At 43.4% G+C, this 15995-nt stretch overlaps 2 pseudogenes; both read left to right on the forward strand.

Annotated features, from left to right (window-relative positions):
• Positions 1535–3046, forward strand: OLA1P2 (OLA1 pseudogene 2; annotated as a pseudogene).
• SCDP1 (stearoyl-CoA desaturase pseudogene 1) lies at positions 10461–15701 on the forward strand (annotated as a pseudogene).

The following is a 15995-nucleotide window of genomic DNA, read 5'->3' on the forward strand; positions in this document are numbered from 1 at the left end:
CATAAATTTTTTGTTTCTTTTTGTAAATAGGTTTCTTGACCTATAAAAAGAGCTGTTTGCTCAAGAGAAGAAACTTCCGGCCAGACACAGTGGCTCATGCCTGTAATCTCAGCATTTTGGGAGGCCAAGGTAGGCAGATCACCTGAGGTCAGGAGTTTGAGACTAGCTTGGCCAATATGGCTAAACCCTGTCTCTACTAAAAATACAAAATTAGCTAGGCATGGTGGTGCGTGCCTGTAATCCCAGCTACTTGGGAGGCTGAGGCAGGAGAATCGCTTGAACCTGAGAGGTGGAGGTTGCAGTGAGCCAAGGCTGTGCCACTGCACTCCATCCTGGGCAACAGAGGGAGACTCTTGTCTAAAAAAAAAGAGAGAAAAGAAAAGAAACTTCCAATTTTCCAATTTGTTTAGATCCAGGAATAGACCAATTTGAAAAATCTTAAATAATATTAACTACTCAGTCCATGGTATTCTTCATAAAATGGCTGTAAGAGGCAGCAATACTAAGAAAAACATGAATTTATGAACATAAGTACTGCTTTTTCCCCCTCAGTTTGATTTAAATTTAATATCCTCCCACAATGGGAAATGATTTACAATAAAGAGATAAACTGGAAAGAATAAGAAAATGGAAAAAGATGTCATTTCTTTTTACTACCCAACAGATTTACCATATGTTTTAAAATGATGCTTGGCCATCTACAGTAAATGAAACAAAATGCTTTTTAAAATAATGTAACACTTTAAACTATTTTTACGACCAAACTCTCCCTCTCTTGTGAAATATCCATCTTACTAAGCAAAGGTTTATTTAAGCTCCACTTACATCTATGTTGTTTTTAGCTCATTTCCTTTTTAAAAAAGCAATGGGCAAGTTTATTTCCCAGTTTATCTGTTATAATAAAATATAAAAAGCATTTCTGTTTTGGCCTCTAGTATAGCATTATCGAAAGCTACGAAACTCACAGCAAAATATAGGACAGTGTAAAATTAGAAACTGCTGGTGTTTCTTTAGCAGCAGTTGCTGTCCTTGCAGTTGTTTTCCCCTCTTGCCACCAGCACAAATCTGAAAGTCACCTCTGTGTACCAGACAACAAACCCCAAGTGTGTTGTTTAAATAACACACTTTATTATTCACATAGCATAGATTTCACCCTTTTAAAGTACACAGTTCGCTGGGTTTTAGTATAATCACAGAGTTGTGTAATCATTACCATTGTCCATTTAGAACATTTTTTTCTCTCCAAAAAAAAAAACAAAAAACCCCCCAAAAACTCCATACCCTTTAGCATTCATTCCCCATTCCTTCATTCCCCCAGGACCTGGCAATCACTAATCTACATTCTGTCTCTGTGGACTTGCCTATTCCAGACATTTCATATAAGTGGAATCACAATTATGTGACCTTTGTGACTGGCTTCTTTTGCTTCTTCTTCTTCTCCTTTTTTTTTTTTTTTTTCTTTTCTTTTAGCTACAGGGTCTCACTATGTTGCCCAGGCTAGTTTCAAACTCCTGGGCTCGAGGTGCCGTTCAAGGCCCGGCCCTCCAGTTCCGCCGCGGCCACCGCTGCCGAGGTGCGTGGGCCCGGCGGAGTGCCAGGCCTGCATTCTCTCCTCCTTCCTCCCCGCCTCTGGCTGCCAGTAGGACCTTTCTCTCGCAGCCGCTGGGACCCCGTGTCATCGCCAAGGCCGAGCACGATGCCCTGCAAAGAGGGAGGTGATGGAATTAAACCACCCCCAATCATTGGAAGATTTGGAACTTCACTGAAAATTGGTATTGGTGGATTGCTAAATGTTGGAAAATCTACTTTCTTCGATGTATTAACCAGTAGTCAGGCTTCAGCAGAAAACTTCCTATTTGGCACCATTGATCCTAATGAGAGCAGGGTACCTGCGCCAGATGAAAGGTTTGACTTTCTTTGCCAGTACCACAAACCAGCAAGCAAAATTCCTGCCTTTCTAAATATAGTGGATACTGCTGGCCTTGTGAAAGGAGCTCACAATGGGCAGGGCCTGGGGAATGCTTTTTTTCTTTTTAATCTCATATTAATGCCTGTGATGGCATCTTTCATGTAACACGTACTTTTGAAGATGGTGATATGACGCATGTTGAAGGAAGTGTAGATCTTATTGGAGATACAGAAATAATACATGAAGAGCTTCAGCTTAAAGAGGAGGAAATGATTGGGTCCATTACAGATAAACTAGAAAAGGTGGCTGTGAGAGGAGGAGATAAAAAACTAAAACCTCTTTGGGAGGCCGAGGTGGGCAGATCACCAGGTCAGGAGTTCAAGACCAGCCTGGCCAATATGGTGAAACCCCATCTGTACTAAAAATACAAAAATTAGCTGGGCATGGTGGTGCACGCCTGTAATCCCAGCTAATCGGGAGGCTGAGGCAGGAGAATTGCTTGAACCTGGGAGGCGGAGGTGGCAGTGAGCTGAGATTGTGCCACTGCACTCCAGCCTGGGCAAGACTCCGTCTCAAAAAAAAAAAAAAGAAAGAAAGAAAGAAAGAAAGAAAAACAAATGGTTGATAAAAATAAAAATAAATTAAATAGTGGGTGGACAAGTATGACCTAGGTGCCTTTGTCGTTCCTTTTAGTGGGGCCTTGGCAAGAATTGAGTGCTGAGGAGAGACCGGAGTAACTGGAAGCAAACACGACTCAAAGTGCTTTGCCAAAGATCATTAAGGCTGGGTCTGCAGCACTCCAACTAGAATACGTTTTCACTGCAGGCCCAGATGAAGTGTGTGCAGGGACCATCAGGAAAGGGACTAAGAATCCTCAGGCTGCAGGAAAGATTCACACAAATTTTGAAAAGAGATTCATTATGGCTGAAGTAATGAAATACGAAGATTTTAAATGGGAAGGTTCTGAAATGCAGTCAAGGCTGCCGGAAAGTACAGACAACAAGGCAGAAATTATATTGTTGAAGATGGAGATATTATCTTCTTCAAATTTAACACACCTCAACAACCGAAGAAGAAAGATAATGCATGTTTTACAGTACTCCAGATGTCTACACCCAACAAAACATCTGGAAAAACAACAACAACAACAACAACAAACTCCTGGGCTCAAGCAATCCTCCTGCCTCGGCCTCCCAAAGTGCTGGGATTACAGGCATGAGCCGCCATGCCCAGCCAGCTTTTTTCACTTAGCTTAATGCTTTCAAGGTTTATTCATGTTGCAGAACGTATCAGTACTTCATTCCTTTTTATGGTCAAATAATATTCCATTGTACGGATATACCACAGTTTGTTTAATCATTCACCAGATGATGGACATTTAGGTTGTTCTTGTGTTGATTATTATGAACAATGCTGTTATTAACATTTATGTACAAGTTTTTATGTGGATATATGTTTTTATTTTTCATGAGTATATGTACAAAGAATGAAGTTGCTGGGTCATATGATAACCTTTTGAGGAACTGCTAGACTATTTTCCAAAGTGGCTGCACCATTTAGCATTCCCAGTTGCAGTGCATTAGAGTACCGATTTCTCCACGTTCTAACCTTTGTTATCTATCTTTTTGATTATAGCCATTCTAGCTGGAATGATGTGGTATCTCATTTTGATTTTGATTTGCATTTCTCTGATGGCTAATGACATTGAGCATCTTTTCATGTGCCCATTGTCCATTTGCATATCTTCTTTGGAAAAATTTCTTTTCAGATGCATTTTTTTAAAAAAACAATTATGGGTTTTATCTTAATATGGTGTCGTAAGTTTTTTAGAATATATTCTGAATATAAGTCTCATAACAGATATATGATTTGCAAATATTTTCTCTCATTCTGTGGGTACTTGAGCTTTCTTGATGGTATTTTTTGAAGCACTAAAATTTTCAGTTTTCATGAATTCCAGTTTATCTGTTTATCTTTGGTTGCTTATGCTTTTAATGTTGTATCTAAGAAAGCATTCTGTAACCCAAGAAAATTTACTTTGGGGGGTCATGGTGGTTCACACCTGTAATCTCAGCACTTTTGGGAGGTTGAGACTTGAGACCAGGAGTTGAAGATTAGCTTGGGAAAAATAGTGAGACCCTGTCTCAAAAAAAAAAAACAAAACTAAAAAGTAGCCAGACATGGTGGCATATTTCTGTGGTCCCAGCTACTCAGGAGGCTGAAATGGGAGGATTGCTCGAGCCCAGGAGGTGGAGGCTATAGTGAACCATGTTCACACCTCTGCACTCCAGCCTGGGTGACAGAGTGGGACCCTGTCTCCAAAAATACATAAATATATAAAAATTTTTAATTTACTTATATATTTTTTCCATAAGTTGTACAGTTTCAATTCTTACATTTTGAGCTAATTTTTTATGTATGGTGTGACATAGGAGTCCAAATTAATTTTTTTGCAATTCACTTGTCCCAGCGCCATATATTGAAAGGCTCTTTGTCACTGAATTTCCTCGGCATCTTTGTCAAAAATCAGTTGACCATGAATGTAAGGGTTTATTTCTGGGCTTTAATTCTATTGCATTGATCTGTATGAATGTTGAATGTTCTTATACCAGTACCACACTGTCTTGATTGCTGTAGCTTTGTGCTTGATATGGTTAGGCTTGGTGTCCCCACCCAAATCTTATCTTGAAGTGTAATCCCCATAATCACTATAATCCCCATGTGTCAAGGGAGAGACCAGGTGGAGGTAATTGAATCGTGGAGGCAGTTCCCCATGCTGTTCTCATGACAGTGAGTTCTCATAAGATCTGATTGTTTTATAAGGGGCTCTTTCCCCTTTCTCTTGGCGCTGCTTCTTGCTGCCTTGTGAAGAAGGTGCCTTGCTTCCCCTTCACCTTGATTGTAAGTTTCCTGAGGCCTCCCCAGCCATGCTGAACTGTGAGTCAATTAAACCTCTTTTCTTTATAAATTGCCTAGTCTCAGAAAGTTATTTATAGCAGTATGAAACCGGACTAATACAGTGCTGTTTTGAAATCAGGAAGTGCCCATCCTTCAACTTTGTTCTTTCTCAAGGTTGTTTTGGCTATTTTGTGTCCCTTGTATTTCTTTCACTATTTTTCTTCCTTTTGTAGTTTTAACTGACCATTTTATATGACTTCATTTTTTCTCTCCTTTTAATTTTTTCTATTTTTTTCTTAGCATATTCATTGTGCTTCTTTTTTTTTACTTTTTAACAACTTTTTTCAGTGGTTGCTCTAGGTTCCCTTTATTTTTTTTATTTTTTTTGTATTTTTTAGAGACGTGGTCTCACTGTGATACCCAGGCTGGAGTGCAGAGGTGTGAACATGGTTCACTGCAGCCTCTACTTCCTGGGCTCAAGCAATCCTCCCACCTCAGCCTCCCAGATAGGTGGGATTACAGGCACAAGCCACCACACCACTCTAATTTTGTCGTAGTAGTTTTTGGTAGAGAGTCTCACCGTGTTGCCCAGTCTGGTCCCAAATTCCTGGCCTCAAGCAATTCTCCCGCCTCAGTTTCCCAAAGTGTTGGGATTACAGACATGAGCCACCATGCCTGGCCAACTCTTGTATTTTAATCTGAATTTTAGAATCAGCTTGACAACTTCTGCAAGAAAGAAAACTGGGGTTTTGATAGGATTGCCTTGAGGCTGGGCATGGTGGCTTATGCCTGTAATCCTAGCACTTTTGGAGGGCGAGGTGGGCGGATCATCTGAGGTCAGAAGTTCGAGACCACCCTGGGCAACATGGTGAAACTCCGTCATTACTAAAAATGCAAAAATTAGCTGGATGATGTGGCACACACCTGTAATCCCAGCTACTGGGGCGGCTAAGGCACTAGAATCGCTTGAACCCAGGAGGCGGAGGTTGCAGTGGGCCTAGATGGCGCCACTGCACTCCAGCCTGGGAGACAGAGCGAGACTCCATCTCAGGAAAAAAAAAAGATATCACACTGTACCCCATAAGTAAGTGCAATTATTATGTGTCAAAAATAAAAAATTATATAAGAACTAATAAACAAGTACACCAATGTTGTAGGGTACAAGATCAATAAATGAAAACCAATCATATTTCTGGCCGGGCATGGTGGCTGGGCTCAGTGGCACAAGCCCAGGAGTTTGAGACCAGCCTGGCCAGCATGGTGAAACCCTGTCTCTACTAAAACTACAAAAATTAGCCGGGCGTGGTGGCTCATGTTGTAATCTCAGCTACTCAGGAGGCTGAGGCATGAGAATCACTTGACCCTGGGAGGTGGAGGTTGCAGTGAGCCAAGGTCACGCCACTGCACTCCAGCCTGGGCAATGGAGTGAGACTCTGTCTCAAAAAAAAAAAAAAAAAAAAAAAAAAAAGTCCATGTAGTACATGTATCAAAACATCACACCGAGGCTGGCTGCAGTGGCTCACGCCTGTAATCCTAGCACTTTGGGAGGCCGAGGCAGGTGGATCACTTGAGGTCAGGAGTCAAAGACCAGCCTGGTCAACACAGTGAAACCCCGTCTCTACTGGGAAAAAAAAAAAAAAAAAAAAAAAAAAGGAAGAAGAAGAAGTTGGCAGCATGGGGAGGGGGAGGAACAAGTGGGGAGTGGTGCTGTTGTTAAAAAAAATACTGGTCTGCTTCAACCCAAGGGGAATCAGAAGATCAAAAGCAGTTTGGGAAAGCCAGAACCGTCAGGGATGGAGGGAGAAGGAAAATCCAGGGGGTGGGGGGTTCTGTTTGGCAACTGGGGTGAAGGGATTGCTTTCTCCCTGCTGGGATTCTCCCCAACCCTTCCGGTCAGGCAGGAAGGGAGCAGCCTATTTCACTGCAGGCCCAGATGAAGTGCGTGCATGGACCATCCTTGAACTCCTGGGTGCAAGGGTTCCTTCTGCCTCAGCTTCCCAAGTAGTTAGGACTACAGGTGTGTGTGCCACCATGTCCAGGTAAGGTTTTTTATTTCTGGGGGGTGGGGGAGCTGTCTCGCTATGTTGCCCTGGCTGGTCCTAAATTCCTGGGCTCAAGGAATCCTTGCACTCAGCCTCCCCAGTGGCTGGATTACAGGCATAAGCCACTATGGCCAGCCCTCCTGTAATACTTTTAAATCATCTCTATGTTAAGCCTGGCTAATTTTTGTTTTTTTATGGCTTTTTGTTGTTGTTGTTGTTGTTATTGTTGTTGTTTTGTAGAGATGGAATTTCCCCATGTTGCCCAGGCTGGTCTGGAACTCCTGGGCTCAGGCAATCCTCCCTCCTCGGCCTCCCAAAGTGTTGGGAGTATAGGCATGAGCTACTGTACTTGGCCTAGCAGTGGTGTTTTAAATAAATATGCTTTTGGCCAGGCATGGCAGCTCACACCCGTAATCATAGCACTTTGGGAGGCTGAGGTGGTAGGGCTGCTTGGGCCTGGGAGGTTGAGGCTGCAGTAATCTGTGATCACACCACTGAACTCCAGCTGGTTGACAGAGCAAGACACTGTCTCAAAAACTGTGTATGTATATATGCTTTGGATTTTCATACTTTCTCTAGCACCGCAGACTGCTAAATAATCATAGTCAATTAATGGAAATGAACTCCTATTCTTGCTTATTATGAATTAAAATGAGTAAATTATGAAAACATACTAATTATTGATATTTTGTGTAGATCAGCAATATTTGAACTTTCTCCCACCTGAGTGGAAGGCAAGCTAAACTTGGAAGCACTCTTGGATTTTTTTGTTGTTTTTTCTTTTTTTATTTTAATATTTTTATTGCTTATATTTCTTTTTTACGTTTTAATCTGTTAAAGTCAAAGATTTTTTAAATTCCTAGACTGATGGAGAGTAGTTATTTAAAAGCTTGACAAAATAATTTTAATACTGTCTAACCAGCAAAGTTTATGAAATCTTTTTTTTTTTTTTTTTTTGAGACAGGGTCTTGCTCTGTCACCCAGGTTGGGGAGCAGTGTTGCAACCATGGCTCACTGCAGCCTTGAGTACCAGGCCCAAGCAATCCTCCCACCTCAGCCTCCAGAGTAGCTGGGCCTACAGGCAGGCAGTGCCACGCCAGGCTTATTTTTTTTAGTAGTGACAGGGTCTCGCTATGTTGCCCAGGCTAGTCTTGAACTCTCAAGAGCTCACACAAGCCTCCTGCCTCGGCCTCCCAAAGTGCTGGGATTATAGGTCTGAGCCACTGTGCCCAGCCTGAAGTCTTTAATTGATACACCTAAAGTTACTTTTATGATACATCATTTTATTTATTTATTTATTTATTTATTTATTTATTTATTTATTTATTTTGAGACAGAGTCTTGCTCTGTTGTTCAGGCTGGAGTGCAGCGGTGCCATCTTGGCTCACTGCAACCTTCGCCTCCTGGGTTCAACCGATTCTCCTGTCTCACCCTTCTGAATAGCTGGGATTACAGGTGTGGGCCACCAAGCCCGGCTAATTTTTCATTTTTAGTAGAGATGGGGTTTTACCATGTTGGCCAGGCTGGTCTTGAACTCCTGATCTCAAGTGATCTGCCTGCCTTGGCCTCCCAAAGAGCTGGGATTACAGGCATTAGCCACTGCATCCAACCTTATGATGCATAATTTTAGAGATTGCTTTTTTAGACAAATATTGAACTCATGTATTAAATAGTTTAATGAAAACTCAGACTCTATCTGAATATGATACCTCTTTTTTTTTTACTTTTATTCTTAAGTTATATATATTTATTATAAAAATATTCAAGTTAGTAGGGAATTTTTAAAAATGTAAAATTCTGTTGTTCATCTTAAATCCCATTTTTCAGTAGTGACTACTGTGAACACTTTTTGGGAGGGGGGAGGGGACAGGGTCTCACTCTGTCACCCAAGCTGGAATGCAGTGGCACGGTCTTGGCTCACTGCAACCTCCACCTTCTGGGTTCAAGAGATTCTTGTACCTCAGCCTCCCAAGTAGCTGGGACTACAGGCGTGTGCCACCATGTCTGGCTAATTTTTTGTTTGTTTGTATTTTTTTGTAGAGACAGGTTTTTGCCATGTTGGCTAGGCTGGTCTCGAACTCCTGGCCTCAAGCAGTCCACCCACCTCGGCCTTCCAAAGTGTTGGGATTACAGGCGTGAGCCACCATGCCTGGCCCTGTTAACAGTTTTGTGTGTTACCTTCCATATCTTTATCTATGCGTATACAAATCTGTCCTCTGTAACCCATTTTGTACATATTTTTTATTGTATAATTTATTTTTTAAAAAATTCTTTTCATAGAATACTTTTTCACACTAAAGATTCCCACAGTGGGAAAATAACAATTTATTACTTATAGTTTTATGTTTGTGGACAGATTGTTTTAGAACAAGTAAAACACACTTAAGAATTAAGTCTCAATTTGGAATTTGTAGTATTTTGATGCATCTACAAGGACGACCTAGTCCTTAAGTGGAACTTCTGTATATTCAGAAGCTCTTTAAGCTTTTCTTCACAGGATTTAGAAATTCATAATGTGAGAAATCGGCATTTCCTAATTTTAAACTTTCCCTAGTATATGTAGTCATCAGTAGCTGGTATCTACCAAACAAAGAGGGAAGTTTTTGAAAATTAAACCCGGCTAATTTTCTGCAAAGTTTTTATTCATGAATTAACAGTATTTCCCTTTGTCCATTTTTCCCAGGGCAAATATAGAAGCAGTTTGGTCAGGTACTGGCAGTAATAAAGCTGGATTCTCTTTAAGAGATTGATGAGGTCGAGCGCGGTGGTTCACGCCTATAATCCCAGCACTCTGGGAGGCCGAGGCAGGCGGATCACTTGAGGCCAGGAGTTAAGAGACCGGCCTGGCCAACATGGTGGAACCTCGTCTCTACTAAAAATGCAAAAATTAGCCTGGTGTGGTGGCGTGTGCCTGTAATCCCAGCTACTCGTGAGGCTGAGGCAGGAGAATTGCTTGAACGTGGGAGGCAGAGGTTACAGTGAGCTGAGATCGTGCCACTGCACTCCAGCCTGGGTGACAGAGCAAGACTCGGTCTCAAAAAAAAAAAAAAAAAAAAAAAAAAAAAAAAAAAAAGTGGAGGGAAATCATACGTTTGCATCTGTAATGTCCATGTATCATGGACTCTGCCCTAGACTAGACTAGTGTCGTCCAGTGCAGTAGCCGCTAGCCACAGGTAGCTATTGAAAACTTGAAGCTGGGCATGGTGGTTAATGCCTATTATCTCAGCACTTGGGAGGCTAAGGCAGGAGGATAACTTAAACCCAGGAGTTCAAGATCAGGTTGGGCAACACAGCCAGACCCCATCTCTGCAAAAAATTTTAAAATTAGTCAAGTGTGGTGGCATGCACCTGTAGTTCCAGCTACTTGGAACGGTGAGGCGGCAGGATCATCTCAGCCTGGAAGATCGAGGCTGCAGTGAGCCATGATGGCACCACAGCACTCCAGCCTGGGTGACAGAGTGAGACCCTGTCTTAAAAAACAAACAAACAGGGGCCGGGTGGTGTGGTGTCGGTGTCGGCAGCATCCCCGGCGCCCTGCTGCGGTCGCCGCGAGCCTCGGCCTCTGTCTCCTCCCCTTCCAGCCCTCACCTCCACGCGGGACCGCTCGCGCCAGTCAACTCCGCGCACGTTGCCCCTGCTTGGCAGCCAATAAAAGGGGGCTGAGGAAATACCGGACACGGTCACCCGTTGCCAGCTCTAGCCTTTAAATTCCCGGATCGGGCACCTCCACGCACCGCGGCTAGCGCCGACACCCAGCTAGCGTGCAAGGCGCCGCGGCTCAGCGCGCACCGGCGGGCTTCGAAATCGCAGTCCTCCGGCGACCCCGAACTCCGCCCCGGAGCCTCAGCCCCTGGAAAGTGATCCTGGCATCCGAGAGCCAAGATGCCGGCCCACTTGCTGCAGGACGATATCTCTAGCTCCTATACCACCACCACCACCACCATTACAGCGCCTCCTTCCAGGGTCCCGCAGAATGGAGGAGATAAGTTGGAGACGACGCCCCTCTACTTGGAAGAAGACATTCGCCCTGATATAAAAGATGATATATATAACCTCACCTACAAGGATAAGGAAGGCCCAAGCCCCAAGGTTGAATATGTCTGGAGAAACATCATCCTTATGTCTCTGCTACACTTGGGCGCCCTGTATGGGATCACTTTGATTCCTACCTGCAACTTATACACCTGGCTTTGGGGGGTATTCTACTATTTTATCAGTGCCCTGGGCATAACAGCAGGAGCTCATCCTCTGTGGAGCCACTGATCTTACAAAGCTCGGCTGTCCCTGTGGCTCTTTCTGATCATTGCCAACACAATGGCATTCCAGAATGATGTCTATGAATGGGCTCGCGACCACCGTGCCCACCACAAGTTTTCAGAAACACATGCTGATCCTCATAATTCCTGACGTGGCTTTTTCTTCTCTCACGTGGGTTGGCTGCTTGTGCGCAAACACCCAACTGTCAAAGAGAAGGGCAGTACGCTAGACTTGTCTGACCTAGAAGCCGAGAAACTGGTGATGTTCCAGAGGAGGTACTACAAACCCGGCTTGCTGTTGATGTGCTTCATCCTGCCCACGCTTGTGCCCTGGTGTTTCTGGGGTGAAACTTTTCAAAACAGCGTGTTCGTTGCCACTTTCTTGCGATATGCTGTGGTGCTTAATGCCACGTGGCTGGTGAACAGTGCTGCCCACCTCTTCAGATATCGTCCTTATGACAAGAACATTAGCCTCCGGGAGAATATCCTGGTTTCACTTGGAGCTGTGGGTGAGGGCTTTCACAACTACCACCACTCCTTTCCCTATGACTACTCTGCCAGTGAGTACCGCTGGCACATCAACTTCACCACATTCTTCATTGATTGCATGGCCGCCTTCGGTCTGGCCTACGACCAGAAGAAAGTCTCCAAGGCCGCCATCTTGGCCAGGATTAAAAGAACCGGAGAGGGAAACTACAAGAGTGGCTGAGTTTGGGGTCCCTCAGGTTCCTTCTTCAAAAGCCAGCCAGGCAGAGGTTTTAATGTCTGTTTATTAACTACTGAATAATGCTACCAGGATGCTAAAGATGATGATGATAACCCATTCCAGTACAGTATTCTTTTAAAATTCGAAAGTATTGAAAGCCAACAACTCTGCCTTTATGATGCTAAACTGACATTATTTCTTCTCTTATCCTCTCTCTCTTCTAGGCCCATTGTCCTCCTTTTCACTTTGTTGCTATCATCCTCCTTTCTCTTATTGCCACCCAGGCAAGCAGCTGGTCAGTCTTTGTTCAGTGTCCAGCTTCCAAAGCCTAGACAACCTTTCTGTAGCCTAAAACGAATGGTCTCTGCTCCAGATAACTCTCTTTCCTTGAGCTGTTGTGAGCTTTGAAGTAGGTGGCTTGAGCTAGAGATAAAACAGAATCTTCTGGGTAGTCCCCTGTTAATTATCTTCAGCCCAGGCTTTTGCTAGATGGAATGGAAAAGCAACTTCATTTGACACAAAGCTTCTAAAGCAGGTAAATTGTTGGGGGAGAGAGTTAGCATGTATGAATGTAAGGATGAGGGAAGCGAAGCAAGAGGAACCTCTTGCCATGATCAGACATGCAGCTGCCTACCTAGTGAGGACTTCAAGCCCCACCACATAGCATGCTTCCTTTCTCTCCTGGCTTGGGGTAAGAAGTGGCTGTGGTGTTTGGCAATGCTAATTCAATGCCGCAACATATAGTTTAGGCCAAGGATAAAGAAGAGACACTTTAAGTTTGTAGTAAAAGTGGTCTCTGCTGGGGAAGGGTTTTCTTTTCTTTTTTTCTTTAATAACAAGGAGATTTCTTAGTTCATGTATCAAGAATTCTTGAAGTTGGGTGTTTCCATAATTGGTAAAAACAGCAGCTCACAGAATTTTGAGTATTCCATGAGCTGCTCATCACAGTTCTTTCCTCTTTCTGCTCTGCCATCTTCAGGATATTGGTTGTTCCCCTCATAGTAATAAGATGGCTGTGGCATTTCCAACCATCCAAAAAAAGGGAAGGATTTTAGGAGGTGGAGTCGGGTCAAACAAGAAATATATATATACATATATACATTGCTTAGAACGTTAAACTATTAGAGTATTTCCCTCCCAAAGAGGGATGTTTGAAAAAACTCTGAAGGAGAGGAGGAATTAGTTGGGATGCCAATTTCCTCTCCACTGCTGTACATGAGATGGGGAGGTTGAGGGACAGGATCTATAGGCAGCTTCTAAGAGCAAACTTCACACAGGAAGGGATCTGAGAACACATTGCCGGGGGCTTGAGAAGGTTACTGAGTGAGTTATTGGGAGTCTTAATAAAATAAACTAGATATTAGGTCCATTCATTAATTAGTTCCAGTTTCTCCTTGAAATGAGTAAAAACTAGAAGGCTTCTCCCCACAGTGTTGTGCCCCTTCACTCATTTTTTATTGGCGGGGTGGGGGGCTCTGTTAACATCTAGCCTAAGTATAGAACTGCCTGGGGGGCAGGGTTAGGAATCTCTTCACTACCCTGATTCTTGATTCCTGGTTCTACCCTGTCTGTCCCTTTTCTTTTACTAGATCTTTCTCTTCCCTGAACGTTTTCTTCTTTCCCTGGACAGGCAGCCTCCTTTGGGTGTATTCAGAGGCAGTGATGACTTGCTGTCCAGGCAGCTCCCTCCTGCAGACAGAATGCTCAGGGTCACTGAACCACTGCTTCTCTTCCGAAAGTAGAGCTAGCTGCCACTTTCGCATGGCCTCCGGAGTGTCTCCACCTACACCTCTGTGCTCCCCCGCCACACTGATGGCTCAAGACAAGGCTGGCAAACCCTCCCAGAAATGTCTCTGGCCCAGAAAGCCTCTCTCTCCCTCCCTCTCTCATGAGGCACAGCCAAGCCAAGTGCTCATGAGCCAGTGGGCCTGCCACAGAGCAAACGAGGGTTTATTTTCAGTCCCCTCTCTCTGGATCAGAACCAGAGAGCATGCTGAATGCCCCTCTGCTTGCTCGGTAAGGGTGCCCCACCTGAATCAGTGCTCTCAGCTGGCAGTGCAATGCTTGTAGAAGTAGGAGGAAACAGTTCTCACTGGGAAGAAGCAAGGGCAAGAACCCAAGTGCCTCACCTCAAAAGGAGGCCCTGTTCCCTGGAGTCAGGGTGAACTGCAAACCTTTGGCTGAGACCTGGGATTTGAGATACCACAAACCCTGCTGAACAGAGTGTCTGTTCAGCAAACTAACCAGCATTCCCTATAGCCTAGGGAATAGTATAGAAGTCTGGCAAAAACAGAAACAGAACATCAGTGTTTTGAGAACCTTGGACTACTCCTGTCCCTGTAGCTCAGTCATCAAAGCAGAAGCCTGGCTTTGCTCTATTAAGATTGGAAATGTACACTACCAAACACTCAGTCCACTGTTGAGCCCCAGTGCTGGAAGGAAGGAGGGCCTTTCTTCCTGTGTTAATTGCATGGAGGCTACAGGGGTTAGCCTGGACTAAAGGCATCCTTGTGTTTTGAGCTATTCACCTCAGTAGAAAAGAATCTAAGGGAAGATCACTGTAGTTTAGCTCTGTTGACCTGTGCACCTACCCCTTGGAAATGTCTGCTGTTATTTCTAATTCCACAGGTCATAAGATGCCTTCTTGATGATATATGAACGATAAAAACAACTTTCACTTCTTCCTATTGTAATCGTGTGCCATGGATCTGATCTGTACCATGACCCTACATAAGGCTGGATGGCACCCTCAGGCTGAGGGCCCCAATGTATGTGTGGCTGTGGGTGTGGGTGTGGGTGTATCTGCTGAGTAAGGAACACTATTCTCAAGATTCTAAAGCTCAATTCAAGTGACACATTAATGATAAACTCAGATCTGATCAAGAGTCTGGATTTCTAACAGTCCTTGCTTCGGGGCTGTGCTGGCAACTTAACTCGGGTGCCTTACATCTTTTCTAATCATAGTGTTGCATATGAGCCTGCCCTCACTCCCTCTGTGGAATCCCTTTGCACCTGAGAGCCTACTGAAGTGGCTGGTAGAAAAAGGGGCCTGAGTGAAGGATTATCAGTATCGCGATTTGCAGGATTCCCTTCTGGGCTTCATTCTGGAAACTTTTGTTAGGGCTGCTTTTAAGTGCCCACATTTGATGGAGGGTGGAAGTAATTTGAATGTATTTGATTTATATATATATATATTTTTAAGGTTAAAAGATGGTTGTAGCATTTAAAATGGAAAATTTTCTCCTCGGTTTGCTAGTATCTTGGGTGTATTCTCTCTAAGTGTAGCTCAAATAGGTCATCATGAAAGGTTAAAAAAGTGAGGTGGCCATGTTACGCTGGTGGTTAAGGCCAGGGCCTCTCCTACCACTGTGCCACTGACTTGCTATGTCACCCTGGGCAAGTCACTTAACTATAAGGTGCCTCAGTTTTCCTTCTGTTAAAATGGGGATGATAATACTGACCTACCTCAAAGGGCAGTTTTGAGGCGTGACTAATGCTTTTTAGAAAGCATTTTGGGATCCTTCAGCACAGGGATTCTCAAGACCTGAGTATTTTTTATAATAGCAATGTCCACCATCAACTTGATATGTCCGTGTGTCCCAGATGCTGTCATTAGTCTATATGGTTCTCCAAAAAATTGAATGAATCCATTGGAGAAGCAGTGGATTAACTAGCCAGACAAAATTTGAGAATGCATAAAAAACACATTGCCACGGAAACATACAGAGGATGCCTTTTCTGTGATTGGGTGGGATTTTTTCCCTTTTTATGTGGGACATAGTAGTTACTTGTGACAAGAATAATTTTGGAATAATTTCTATTAACATCAACTCTGAAGCTAATTGTACTAATCTGAGATTGTGTTTGTTTATAATAAAAGTGAAGTAATCCAAAAAACAAACAAACAAAACCATAAAACAAAACCTTGAAATGTGGCTAATCTGGATTGAATTATGCTGTAAATGTAAAATACACATCAGATTTCTAAGAGTTAGAACATAAAAGAGAATGTAAAGTATCTCACCAGTAATTTTTTTAATTGATCACATGTTGCAATGGTAATGTTTAGGGGTATATTGGGTTAAATAAAGCATGTTATTAAATTAATTTTAGCTGGGCATTGTGGCACATGACTGTAGTCCCAGCTGCTGGGAAGGCTGAGGTATTTTTTAAAGTGAGTGTTG

This window comes from Homo sapiens, chromosome 17 (assembly GCF_000001405.40).
Source record: "Homo sapiens chromosome 17, GRCh38.p14 Primary Assembly".
Taxonomy (NCBI): domain Eukaryota; kingdom Metazoa; phylum Chordata; class Mammalia; order Primates; family Hominidae; genus Homo; species Homo sapiens.